Source organism: Homo sapiens, chromosome 4 (genome assembly GCF_000001405.40).
Source record: "Homo sapiens chromosome 4, GRCh38.p14 Primary Assembly".
Classification (NCBI taxonomy): domain Eukaryota; kingdom Metazoa; phylum Chordata; class Mammalia; order Primates; family Hominidae; genus Homo; species Homo sapiens.
In genome coordinates this window covers 152531108-152543617 of record NC_000004.12, presented here as the reverse complement: position 1 = coordinate 152543617, position 12510 = coordinate 152531108, and the positions used below count along the sequence as shown (strand labels likewise).

The 12510-nt window shown below is 46.5% G+C and overlaps 1 protein-coding gene, 1 long non-coding RNA gene and 1 other non-coding gene across 15 annotated transcripts in view, besides 5 other annotated features; 1 reads left to right on the top strand and 2 right to left on the bottom strand.

Moving 5' to 3' along the window:
• Positions 4355-7354, bottom strand: MIR4453HG (MIR4453 host gene). Its single transcript, NR_033797.2, has one exon. It is a non-coding gene; the product is annotated as an MIR4453 host gene (long non-coding RNA).
• On the bottom strand, positions 7102-7190 carry MIR4453 (microRNA 4453). The gene has a single exon (NR_039658.1). It is a non-coding gene; the product is annotated as a microRNA 4453 (primary transcript).
• Positions 7231-7590: an enhancer, noted in NCBI's record as "active region_22033". NCBI's record gives its function as "activates an Ori minimal core promoter by ATAC-STARR-seq in GM12878 lymphoblastoid cells {active_cell/tissue: GM12878}" and the evidence as "EXISTENCE:reporter gene assay evidence [ECO:0000049][PMID:35858748]".
• Positions 7231-8490: a biological region, named in NCBI's record as "H3K27ac hESC enhancer GRCh37_chr4:153456939-153457474".
• Positions 7296-7831: an enhancer, noted in NCBI's record as "H3K27ac hESC enhancer chr4:153456939-153457474 (GRCh37/hg19 assembly coordinates)". NCBI's record gives its function as "activates a minimal SCP1, AML or CMV promoter by ChIP-STARR-seq in primed H9 embryonic stem cells {active_cell/tissue: H9 hESC(primed)}" and the evidence as "EXISTENCE:reporter gene assay evidence [ECO:0000049][PMID:30033119]".
• FBXW7 (F-box and WD repeat domain containing 7) overlaps positions 7526-12510 on the top strand; it is a 215549-nt gene continuing 210564 nt past the window's right edge. For 6 of the 13 annotated variants that reach the window (XM_011532084.3, XM_011532087.3, NM_001349798.2 and 3 more), the window contains exons 1-2: positions 7526-8491; positions 8585-8677. The gene's annotated coding sequence lies outside the window, so the exon portion shown is untranslated. Of the gene's footprint in view, positions 8492-8584; positions 8678-12510 lie in introns of those variants that run through there. The other 7 variants (XM_011532085.3, XM_047415900.1, XM_047415902.1 and 4 more) reach the window with 3 other exon arrangements.
• Positions 7701-8490: a silencer, noted in NCBI's record as "silent region_15751". NCBI's record gives its function as "represses an Ori minimal core promoter by ATAC-STARR-seq in GM12878 lymphoblastoid cells {active_cell/tissue: GM12878}" and the evidence as "EXISTENCE:reporter gene assay evidence [ECO:0000049][PMID:35858748]".
• Positions 9081-9180: an enhancer, noted in NCBI's record as "active region_22032". NCBI's record gives its function as "activates an Ori minimal core promoter by ATAC-STARR-seq in GM12878 lymphoblastoid cells {active_cell/tissue: GM12878}" and the evidence as "EXISTENCE:reporter gene assay evidence [ECO:0000049][PMID:35858748]".

The following is a 12510-nucleotide window of genomic DNA, read 5'->3' as shown; positions in this document are numbered from 1 at the left end:
TCCCGAGTAGCTGGGATTACAGGCGCAAGCCACCACACCCACCTAATTTTTGTATTTTTAGTAGAGACAGGGTTTCACAATTTTGGCCAGGCTAGTTTCAAACTCCTGACCTCAAGTGATCTGCCTGCCTCGGCCTCCCAAAGTGCTGGGATTACAGGCATAAGCCACTGTGCCTGGCCTGTTCTTGTATTTTAAAATATCATTAAATTCTGAGCGCCTCCAACATTTTTACAGTACTATGAAATTATTAAGAAACTCATTACCAAATCCAATGGCATTCCTGCAACATTTGACACTTTTATTTGGTAAAACTCTTTTCTCAGTTATTAAGGAAGTATGGCGATTCTTTGAAGAAGCAATAGGGACCAGTGACAGATTGGCCATAAGGGATGAAGGGGAGAGTGGAGAAACTTTATTTTTTTTAAAGCAAGTTTTCTTCCATTTAATCCATTTTTAGTGCTACTATTTATATTAATCTTTATTTTACTTATTTATTTTTTTTGAGACAGAGTTTCACTCTTGTTGCCCAGGCTGCAGTACAATGGCACGATCTCGGCTCACCGTAACCTCTGCCTTCCGGGTTCAAGCGATTCTCTTGCCTCAGCCTCTCGAGTAGCTAGGATTACAGGCATGCGCCACCATGCCCGGCAAATTTTGTACTTTTAGTAGAGAGATGGTTTCTCCATTTTGGTCAGGCTGGTCTCGAACTCCTGACCTCAGGTGATCTACCTGCTTCGGCCTCCCAAAGTGCTGGGATTACAGACTTGAGCCACTGCGTCCAGCCTAATCTTTAATTTTTTAAAAAATTATTTCTATTAGTATCAATATTAATCTGATCCTAAAGCTGTTAGGCTTAAAATAAACCTTATTCAATTGTAGAATAAGAGGTCTGCCATGTGGAAATGAACAATATTCTACAGACCTTGGGAATTAATTTACCTTATTGTTCCAGAAGACAGAGTCAGTGTGATATAATGGCAAGCATACTGTTATTTGAAGACTTGGGGTGGAGTCCGGGCTTCACATTTACTTGCCCTCCTGACTCTGGCTAAGTCAATTTCTCTGGGTCTCACCTTCCTCCAGTTTTAAAATATCACTGATTCTAAACAAAGAACTGAGAGATAAGAAATTAATGAAAATAATAAAATGTAGTATGTTGGGAAAATATGCCAGGCAGTGACACCAATGTTGTGTATTTGATGTAAATGAGTGAAATTAAAAAAAAAATCCATAAATTGTAGCAGGAATGTTAGGAGGAAAGAAAAAGCCACTGTGACTTTTAAAAAATCAATGAACCTGGGAAATGAAAAAAATATGTGCAGGGAAAACAACTTTTTACACGATTGTCTTGAGAAAAATACAAAGCAACAAAAACCAAGTTTAGTTACACAGATTCAAGAGAATTAAAATTGCCTTTATATTCTCAGAGGAAACTAAAATACAACAAAAATAAAAACCACCATGAGGGATTGCTGGCAATAGCCCAATAGTTGAAAAATTGCATGATTTTGGATAGTAAAGAAAAAAAAAGCCCTATAGGCCTACTTTTAAGAAGTTTATTAGCTGGGTGTGGTGGTGCATCCCTGTGGCCTCAGGAAGCTGAGGCAGGAGAATCCATTGAGCCCAGGTTGAGGCTGCAGTGGGCTGTGTTCACATCAATGCACTCCACCCTGGGTGATAGAGTGAGACTTTGTCTCAAAAAAAAAAAAAAAAAAAGAAAAAGAAAAAAGTAAAGAAAAAAAAGTTTATAGGGTGGGCATGGTGGCTCACACCTGAGGCTGAGGCTGGAGGATTGCTTGAGTCCTGGCGTTTGAGACCAGCCTGGGCAACACAGTGAGACCCCGTCTCTATAAACAATAAAAAAATTCGCTGGGTGGTGGCAAGTGCCTATAGTCCTAGCTGCTTGAGAAGCGGAGGCAGGAGGAACGCTTGAGTCCAGGAGTTCACGACTTCAATGAGCTATGATTTAACCGCTGTACTCCAGCCTTTGTGACACAGTGAAACCCTGTCTAAAAAAAAAGTTTATAATCAAATTAATAAAAAAAAAACTAGGTAACCTATAATTATTCTTATTTTGGAAGGAACTTGTCCCAAATATAACTCAAGTGGTGGCATTACTGATGGCAGTGGCAGGCTGTCCGGAGCAGCCACTGCCATCATGCTGGCTGCAGCGTGGATGTGTGAGCGGTGGTGGCAGGAGTGGCTGTGGGAGTGGCAGTGGCAGTTGTGGGACCTTTGTGCCCCGCGTTCCCGAGGTGGACAACTGTGCTGCCCCCCGTACCCATCCTCATATGGCCAGGCAGGACCCGTTCCCAGTACTGGAGCCTCCACTGCTCCAGACCTTGACCCTGAATCACTGCGATCACCCACTGCCACTGTGGGGAGCACGTGGGGAGGAGGCGGACAGTCCCCAGAGCCCACTGCCCTGGGGGCTGCTGTGATGGGGCAGCGCTGAGCTGCTTGCCAGCAGGGGAGCAGCATGGTCGGGCACGGAGAGGTGGGCAGAGGAGGGCCCAGCAAGGACCTGGAGTCCCCGCGCTGGGTTGCAAACAGGCGCAGCTGGGGCTGCCTGCACACTCCATGCAGCAGGCGGCAGCCCTACCCTCCCAGGTGCAGGACCAGGGCATCTCCGCACTCTGCACCCTCTGGGGGACGGGAAGGCCCCCTTGCCCTTGCAGGCCCTGGGTGTCTGTTCCCACTGCTTGGCCTCTCCCTGCTCCTAGCACCTGCTCTGATCTCAGAATGGGGTTGGGGTCAAGCCTGGGCACTGTCACAGCCCGGCTGGGTATGTGCAGGCTTGCGGCAGTACTGACATGCTAGCCCACTGCTGCTTCCGCCCCCTCTAGATGTTGGGCGCTGACAAGCATGGGAGGGAGGCAAGGGTTGGCAGGGCTGAGGGTAGCCCTGTGCTGGCCCCACAGGCGCCCCTCTGCAGAAATAGCCTGGGTGCCATGAAAAGTGGTAGGAGGCAGACAGGCTCCAGTGTGGAAAGGAGCGGGTTCCCAGTGAAGTCCCACCTTTAGGCTGGGGAAGGCCTGAAGCCTGGGGATTGGACTGCCCATCCTGCACACTAGAGGGGGAACTTATGGTGCTTTTTCCTAGGCCTGCCCAAGGACCAATCAGCATGCACTTCCTCCCCTGAGGCCCGGGGCTCAGTCAGAACTGAGCAGGCGATGGATGACCAGCTGCAGAGAGGAGCTACCTTCTTTGCCGCTAGCTGAATACTTGTTAGGATGACCAGGTGCAGAGAGTAGCTATCCTCCCTGCTGAGAACTGAACACTTGTTGGGACAACCTTCCTGCATAGAGGAGCTCTCCTCTCTGCTGAGAGCTGAAAACTCATCAGGACAACCTGCCTAGCAGAAAGGAGCTGCCCTCCCTGCTAGCAGCTGAACACTCACTGGGACACCCTGGCTGCAGAAAGGAGCTATCCACTGTGGGTCTCCTCTCAGCTGTTCCATTACTCAATAACATCTTGCTCACCCTCCACTTGTCTGTGTACCTCATTCTTCCTGGTCACGGGACAAGAACTTGGGACCTGCCAGATGGCGAGGCTAAACGAGATATAACACAAATGGGGCTGAGACATCCCCATTGCTTGCCACGTTGCGGGTGAAGAGGAGGGAAGGGCTGTGGCCTTTTGGGGAGCCCAGACCTGGGAGCTCCCCAAGCCAACACTGTGACTCCCTCTTTGGGTCCCTGCAGTTCCTGGCGTCTCCAAGCTTCCGGGTGCCAATGTGTTCCCTGGTGCCAGCTGTGGAAGCTGCTTGCAGTATGCCTGGTCCAGCCACAGCCTTGCAGAGAGCTGGTGCATCTGGAGCTGCCCGCCCCACTGCAGCAGCTGGTGTGTCTGACTGCGCAGTAGCCAGACCTCACGCTCGCTCACACATGCCTTGCCACTCCACGCCGTACTTGCCCTTGGCAGGTGTGGGATCCAGGCCGGTAGCATAAGCTGAGCACAGCCTGCCAGGCCAAGTAGGTGGAATGAGCCCAGTGGGCCTGAGCAAGACTTGTGCAAAGGCGCCACAGGCTACAGAGGTTTCTGGCCAGAAAAGCGACACCCTAAACATCCCATAACATTACTTTACCTGTTCAAATGTGGACTATGAAAGGATATTGAAAAGTTGGGCATCTCAGAGACTTAGACATTGAAAAGATACTAACGCGCCACAAAAATGTAAATCCAAATAGCTAGTTGTATACAAGAAGGTCCTCAACAGCATCAGTAATCAGAGAAATGACAGTTAAAACCACAATGATATATTACCATACACCCACCAGACTGGCAAAACCAAAAAGACCAATAATGTCAAGTGTTGTGAAGGTGTGGAGCAATGGGACTCATATATACCTAGTGTGACTGTGTAACCCTCTAGAAAAGAACTTGGCATTATTTATTCAAGTTTATGATACATATTACACTCCCAGGTATATGTTATACAGAAACTGACGTAGATGTGATGGAATACATATATGAAGAATGTTCACATTAGCATTTATAACAATCCTAAACTGGAAACAACCCAGATGTCCATCAGCAATAGAATGGCTAAACATATTGTCACATATTGTTATAATGGGACACTGTAATATGCAGCAATGAAAATGCACAAATTACAGCTATAGGAACAACCTGAACAACATATGAATTAAAAACAATGTTGAGCAAAAGCAGCAAGAACAACAGATTACATATTATATTGTTCCAGTTACATAAAGTTCAAAAGAAAGAGTGAGACTAAACAATATATTGTTTAGGGATGCATGCTTGCGACAAAGCGACAAAGAAAAGCAGGGAAATGATTATCACAAATGTTAGAATAATGACTACACTTAGGAGGGAGGGAAAGAGTTGTGTTCGGGAAGGTCATGGCAGGGAGGGGAACTTCTGAGTTGCTGGAAATATTCCATTTCTTGACCTGGTTGATTGGTTACATGGTGGTTTCCTTTATAATCACTTATACTATATAATTGCTTTATGTATTTAAACTATATTTCACAATAAAAATGTTAAAATTAATATAGATAGTATTTCTGGAAAGCAAAATTTTGCCAGATAATTTAGCTTACACAATCTTTGACAGTAAAAGCCACTGATATGGAATAACGAAACACTGATTAGTTTCTTGTAAGAGCTCACTTTCAAGTGTAGAGGTCAAAAACCTTATAAGAGTCTCCGTTTTTCTATATTTTAACACAGTATTTAGATCCTTATCTTAAATTGATGAACCAGGGAAGTAACTATTAGCTAAAACTTCAGATTTTTTGGAATTTTTAATTAACTAGCTGTTTTCTCCTCTGGATTAATAAGCAATACAAGGAACTAAAGAGATGCAGACCAAGTTGGAAATGTATGAACTTCCTTCTCTCCAGTCTCCAGTTCCAGCTGTTTCCTCCTGTTATCAAGCTGGGTGCTGAGGTGGGTATCTAGCCCAGTAAGCTTAGTGTGCTGTTATTAAATACTTTCTAAGTAAGTGGCTCAGGCTCTCCTGAGTGCCCTTCTGTTCCTCAGCACTGAGGTTGTAAGGTGGAGCCACTGACAATGAAAACAGAAGATCACGCTGCTGAAAAACCCTATGTGGTACACACTTAACTGGAGGTGTTCTCTGCTGGGCTGCAGAACTCTGATGTTTGCACTCTTTTCCTTCAAAGCCTACAAAGGTTAAACTCTCTGAGGTGTTTAGCTTCACAAAATCCCCTAAATCTGTGTGTTTTACTCCTTTAATTTCCACCATTCCCCTGTTGTAAGATAGGAAGAGGGGGAAAAACAAAAAATATTTATTTTGTAGCCATGTGAGACCATCACTTGTTGGTCTGATTACCTGTGAGTCTTATTTGGAAGGCTGTAGCAGGGGATTGGTCACGTAAAGACAGAAAAATCCAGGGTAATTTAAGCAGGATATTTAACCTGGCTCTTGGAACTTCAGGTCAAGGGCAGTAGGGTCAGGTGCTAGTCTGTGAGTCTCTCCTTGGTTTTGCCACATCCTCCTTTGCCCCTCTCACCACCTTTCCCGCAGCATTTTAATGAACACGAGCCCTTGGATTTACCCAGTTAAAAGTTTCCTTAGTTTACTGTTTGCAGATGGTAGTGGCAGTAGTGGGAGAAACCCAGAGCTTCCCACATTTGTCTATAATACACTTGCTCCTACCTTACCCCCTCCTCCAGGTGGAAAGACTTGTAAAATCCATTACTACTGCTTCCCAAGGAGGTAGAGTGTACTAGGGTCCAGGGACAGAATTGTGGAATCTGCTTTCATCATTGCTGCTGCTTTAATCTTTTTCTCATACTATTCACTGAAGACAGATTTCTGAGGATTCTGGTCCTTTTATCTTAAATTTGTTTTCCTAGAGAACTACACTTTAAACTTCATGAGTTTCTACTTAACTTTCCTTTCCAGGATAACATCTGTAGGAAAAGCTGCATAATAGTAATAACACTTATTTTAGAAAGAAAATAACCTTTGAGTCAGACCTGAAACAGGCCAACATTTCTTGATGACAACGTACACTGATGAACCAAGACCAGAAGCTCTCGAAAGCTCCAAACCGTAAGAAAGAACCATTCGTAAAAGTGAGGGACTATTAAATTCTTCCCCTGACAGTCAAAAATCCTTCAGCAATCTCCCAGAGGATGGCTCCCTTCCAATCCTCCCTTCCCGCCGCCCTAACAATCTGCGCGAGGATGGGTCCCTTCCCTTGCTCGGCATTTCGTCTCCTTTTCCACTAAAGACTCAGGTTGTGACTCTGTACTCAAGCCGCACCCCTGTTTCCTTTCATGGCTAGGGGGAGGGGAGGAATGTATTACAACTCATTTTTACAATGCACTGCAGTTTACAAAGCGCTTGCACTTCCACCATATCCTCTGAGCTTCACGAGTGCCACGTGAGAGAGGCATTCATTCATTCATTCATTCATCAAACATTTGCTCGGCCCGACCACACGTTATCCAACGCTGGGTCTCACCCCACGCCACGGGAAGGGTGGGGCGCTCTCTCCCTGGAGCAGGTGCAGATCAGGCTGTAGGGTAACTCCTCGATCAGTCCGGCTTTTCGAGGGTCTGTTTGGGGCCAAATGCCTCACCTTCGGGTGGTGCGCGCAGCTGCCTGAAGACGCGGCCTGGGCCTCCTCCTTCCTCCCAAAGGAGCAGTCCCCACCTGCCCCGAAGGAAACCGCTACAGACCAAGCTCTCCAGGCCGCCCTCGGGTCAGGGGTAAGATCGGGCGGCAGCTTAGGCTCGACTCGGCTCCTCCCCTTCCTCTCTTCAGTTCTGACGCGGCCGTAGAGGCGGCAGCGGCGGTGGCGGCTGCGAGTCCCGCGGCCCGAGGCGCACCCACCCGCTCGCCGATCCCCACTTCCTCTTCCCTTGGAGCGTCATCAGAGCGCGCCAGAGGCGCCCAGGGCGGGGTGGCTGGAAGGGGGAAAAAGGCCAGCGGAGGAAGCCTCAGAGCGGAAAGAAGAGGGAGGGGGAAGAGAGCGGTTGCTAGGTGACTTGCGTCATCGGCAGGCGCCGCTCTCCTCCCGCCCCTCTCTCTGGAGTGAGGCGAGAGCCCCGCACAGAGCGAGGGAGACAGCGAGCTGAGCTCCGGGCGCTGCCGCTGCCGCTGCCGCCGCCGCCGCCGCTGAGACTGAGAGCGAAGGAGCATCCGAGAGATCCAGTCCCCCTGCACTGGCCGCCGCCGAGACCTTCGCTCTCACCTGGGCCAGCGGGAGCCGCGGCCGCACTCCTTTCCCCCCCTCACCTTCCCGGCCGGCAGCGGCGGCTGCACACGCCGGAGCCGGAGCCAGAGCCGGAGCCCGAGCCTGAGCCGGAGCCGGCGGCTTGGGGGGCAGGGAGGCGGCTACCACGGGCCGGGAGTGGGTAGCTGCTCCGCGGTGAGAGAACGCTGAGGAGGCGCCAGAGCTTCTGCCTCGTCCCGTGGGGCGTGGGGCGAGACCCCCAAGGTGTAGGGAGGGGGGTCCCAGCCGCAGCGACACATGCGGGAGCCGGGAGCGGGGGCGGCGCCGAGCGGAGCCGGCCGGGTCCCTCGCCTTGCCGCCGACTCGGCCACCCGCCCGGGGCCGTAGCATCTTGCCCCGGAGTGTATGAACCGGGGCCCCAACCAAGCTCGGCAACCACCCCCCGGCCGGGGGGGCGGGGACCCCGATGTGAAGCGGCGGCTGGGGCGGCGGAGAGAACAGGACCGACGCCGCCGTCCTTTCCTCACCTTCCCCCTCCCCTCAGCCCCCTCCGGGGGTCTTCTCCCTTGGCCAGTCGCCGGCCCCCCGGCTCCTTGGCTGGACTCCGGGAGGAGTTCCTAGAGCCCCCCTCCCCCGCCCCAGTCCCGAGGGCGGCGGGGCCGGGGGGGACCCGGGGGGCCGGCCGCAGCCTCCACCCAGAGGAAACTTTACAAAAACAAAATCCGGAGTCTCCCAAACCTGACTGTCCCGGGAGAAGTGGCCCTGGACGGGCAGAAGCCGCAGCCTGAAAAGACCCAGGAAGAGGAAAAGAGGAGGTAAGCGGGGCCGCCGCCTCCCCTCCCCTGGCAGCGCGGAAGAGACCCGGGTTGCCGCCTGGTTTAGCGACACGAGCACCGCTTCTTCCTCAGTACCGCGCCGGAGCCTTCCGCAGCTGCCGCTTCAGTCCGAAGGAGGAAGGGAACCAACCCACTTTCTCGGCGCCGCGGCTCTTTTCTAAAAGTGTGAGTGGCCCCGGGAGAGGGAATTGAGGGGGAGAAAGTGGGAGGATGCCGGCGCTTCCTCCTGGAGTTTTGCTGATGTTCTCCAGTAGTGTTGGGAGTCTATCAATGAGGGAGTCTAGCTTTATTCACGGAGGGGGGAAGGTGTTAGGGAGGCCTGTATTTTGTAACTTTTTAGCTCTTTGTACGAGTAATGCAAGTATGCAGGTTTCTGTCGGAGGAGTCTTTTCTCCAAAGTGAATACTCGCACCTTTCTGGCCAGCAGTTGGCAAAGGGAAATTGAGGAAGCCAGAGCATATGTGCGCACAGAGGCCATCTGTATCTGTAACCTTTTCCTGGTACTGTGGGTGTGTGCGGTGTACTTTTTGTTTCGGGGGTACTCTCATATAGGTTCCCGAATGAGAACTACTTAACCTGTGGACCCCTGAAAGTAAAATTCCTTTTTTAAAAAACAACAACAAACCTGTTTTGAGAGAGGTTCATTTCAGTACCTATTGGTACAGGAGTTAACCTTCTCAGTTACTGGGTCCAATTTCATGTGTGTCAGGAGGACACTGTAACAGATGTCAGTTACTCAGGAACTTGAGTTGTTAGGAATCACAACTTACTTGGGGAAGAGCATTTATCACATTAATCATTTTATAAAAGTTGTGATTTTTTCCCTTTCACCCCCCCCTTTTTTTTTTTAGAGTAACAAATTACAGCACTTTTTTATTTGGTTTGAGGCTTTGCTTTTTTGAATTATCTTTATTTCTGTATCAATTTAGGATACATCTTTGATATTTAAGTCAGGAATGATTTTTTCCTTCCATTATTTTAAAGCTGAAGTTTATAAAACCTTTGACTTGTATTTTAGGTATCTTGTCAGAGTACCAAATTAAAGGTTTATGAAAGTAATTAATATTTCATATACAGACCTTAAGGGTTAAACATAGAGCAGAATTTTATGTAAGAAGACATAGACAGTAGTATACTGAGAATTGTGGTCCGTCTAGACAACTGTGGGCTCGTTCTGTCTGAAGCCACTGCTGAGAGATACTTTGTGGGAATGAATGTAAGCCTGGGGTTATCTCTCTTTTCGAAGTTCTCCATTCAGGATCTTGATTAGATTAATTTAAAACTTTCTCAAACTTAACAATGTTTGGTCCTTTTTTTTAAAGTAATGAGTTCTGCAAGTTTATTAGCCTGTGTATTATGTGACAGTTCATTTACATATTCCATACCTGTGTCCCTAAACTTTCAGGACACAGTCAGAGTTTGTGTTTCAAGAATTATCAGGACAAGCCTCAGTTCATCTTTTCTTAATTTTATGGACTTTCATTATTTCTACCATCAGTTTCTCCAACTGTTGTCTTAGAATAATGTCTTTCATTTGACCACTTTTCCCTCCTCTGGAACTTCTCCCACTGAATTGTTTTTCTTTAGTTGCCTTGTTATGCTTTGGTAAGGAACTTTAAATTCTGTCCTTTAAATGTGTACTGACATGAAAATACTGAATAGTGGATGTAATGTTAGAATCAGAGTCACGTATTCTGTTTTTCACTAAGATATTGCAAAGAGAAATGTAGTCATTTTCTAAAATACTGTACCCAAAATACAGTAGAAGCTGTATTTTGGGAAGGAGGGGAGGACAAACTAAGAAACAAACTATAGTTTGAATGTAGGTTGCACTCTGTCAAAGTTGCTTACTAACTTTAGGACCTACTTTTATTGCTTATGGATTGGTTAAAAATTACGGTATTTTTTTTTTTTTTGAGACAGAGTCTTGCTCTGTCACCCAGGCTGGAGTGCAATGGAGCGATCTTGGCTCACTGCAACCTCCGCCTCCCAGGTTCAAGCGATTCTCATGCCTCAGCCTCCCAAATAGCTGGGACTACAGGCATGTGCTACCACGCCTGGCTAATTTTTTTTGTATTTTTAGTAGAGATGGGGTTTCACCATGTGGGTCAGGCTGGTCTAGAACTCCTGACCTCAAATGATCTGCCCACCTCGGCCTCCCAAAGTGCTGGGATTACAGGCGTTGAGACACCGCGTCCTGCCAAAAAATTATGGTAATGTTTTATTGCACGTTTGGGTAGAAATGACAAAGTTTTTGGGGTCCCTGCCTTTGAGATGCTTTTACTTGTAGGTGGTGGAGACAATCAAACACAAATTGCACAAAGCTATAGGAGAGGGGGGATAGACCAATATTTATCTAAGACCGCACTGGATGTTAGATATTGTCAACTTATAGATGTGAATATATTTTTACATTTTTCACTAGGGAAATGTTGCTTTTGGACGTGTACATATAGAACTAATTGAAGTATTGAAGCCAAATCTGGGAAGGTTTCTTTTAGGAAGAAAAGAGCAAGTGGAGACACAATATTTAAGACTTTTGGAATTGAAAGGCATAAGGGACAGATAAAATTACGAAGCTGGTTTGAAGGGAATACAGATAGAGGTTGTTGAGTAGTGTTAGGGTCAGTTGTGTTTGTGTAGACACATGATTACAGTTCAAAGAAGCAACTGAGAAGAGTGTTCCTGAGAGTAATTTCAGATGACTGGGGAGAAATTACATTTTAGGTAAAAGCTGTATGCCTGGATTAGGATTTTGTTTTTCTAGGGAACCAACATTTTTATTATATCGTGGCTATCCAGGGCTATACAGAAGGAGGAGTGAAAAAGAAGATGCTTAGTGTGTTGAAAGTGGCTTCTTACAAAAAAGAGTTTAGAAATGGGACAGTAGACTTTGCTTTGGATGTGAAATTTTAGGGCAACAATTGGATACTGGTGCAGTTTCAAAACAGCAAAATAGTTTAGCAGGTAATATACTGAAAATGTAAAGTTGGAATTATTTTCAAAGTATTTAGGTTTCCCAGAGTACTGATGGAAAGTGAAGAGCTGAAAAGTGGGTATTTTTAGTTAGGGGGAAAATCTGAATGAATGAGACACTACCTAAAATAGATGTTTTAGAAGTGGATAAGAGTTGAAGTTAAAAAGGAATGAGCAGGCTTTAAACATGGCCACCAGTTTAGTCCCAGGGTATATTATTCTGTATTTTTGAAACAAGCTAAAATTTTTTTTTTTTTTTAAATAGGGTATATAGGTCCCTTGAGATTAAGTTCAGAAGAGTATACTTAATAATAATTTCATTGTTAAGGAATTTATAAATAGAAGGACAGATTTGTTTCCTCAAATTCATGTTTTAAAGTTCACTGTGCATTATTATCCTACGTTTGGTCTTGATATGACGAAGTGAGGCCAAAAATAGCTGACAGAGAAGGCTGCTTCCCTTGTTCACAGTTGGTGTGTGTCTTTGTGTCCCATACAATGGAGGGGATATCCCTGTGTAGGCACAGTAGTGCTGAACATGCTTTTTTTTTTTTTTTCCTTTTAAACTTTTTATTAAAAAAAAGCAACTTGGCATTTAAAAAAATGTAGACATTTTTGCGGCTTGCATTTAGTATTGACTTTAACAGGATTAAGGATTGTGAGGAAGGAAATATATATTCACACTTTTTTGTGTTCCTTAGTTGGAATTCTGCACCTTCCTAGTAGCTTCTCTGACTTCTTAACAGTGATTATTCAAATGGCAGAAACTCTGGGGAAGAGATGTTTCAACAAGGAGATAGGTCTAAGGTGATTCTAGGGTGAAAATATAGGGATTGGATTATATGCCATATGGAGGCCTTCTCTTGTCATCCTCCACTTTCCACAACATTTTTTGTGCAGTCGAAGCCATGTTCAGATGAATTTTAGAAGGCAGCCACTTATAGTTAATGTTATTTACTAGTGAGGACAGTGGGAAGAGTGGTAACTTCATGTACTTTGCCTTGGCAACTTTTGGATTGATA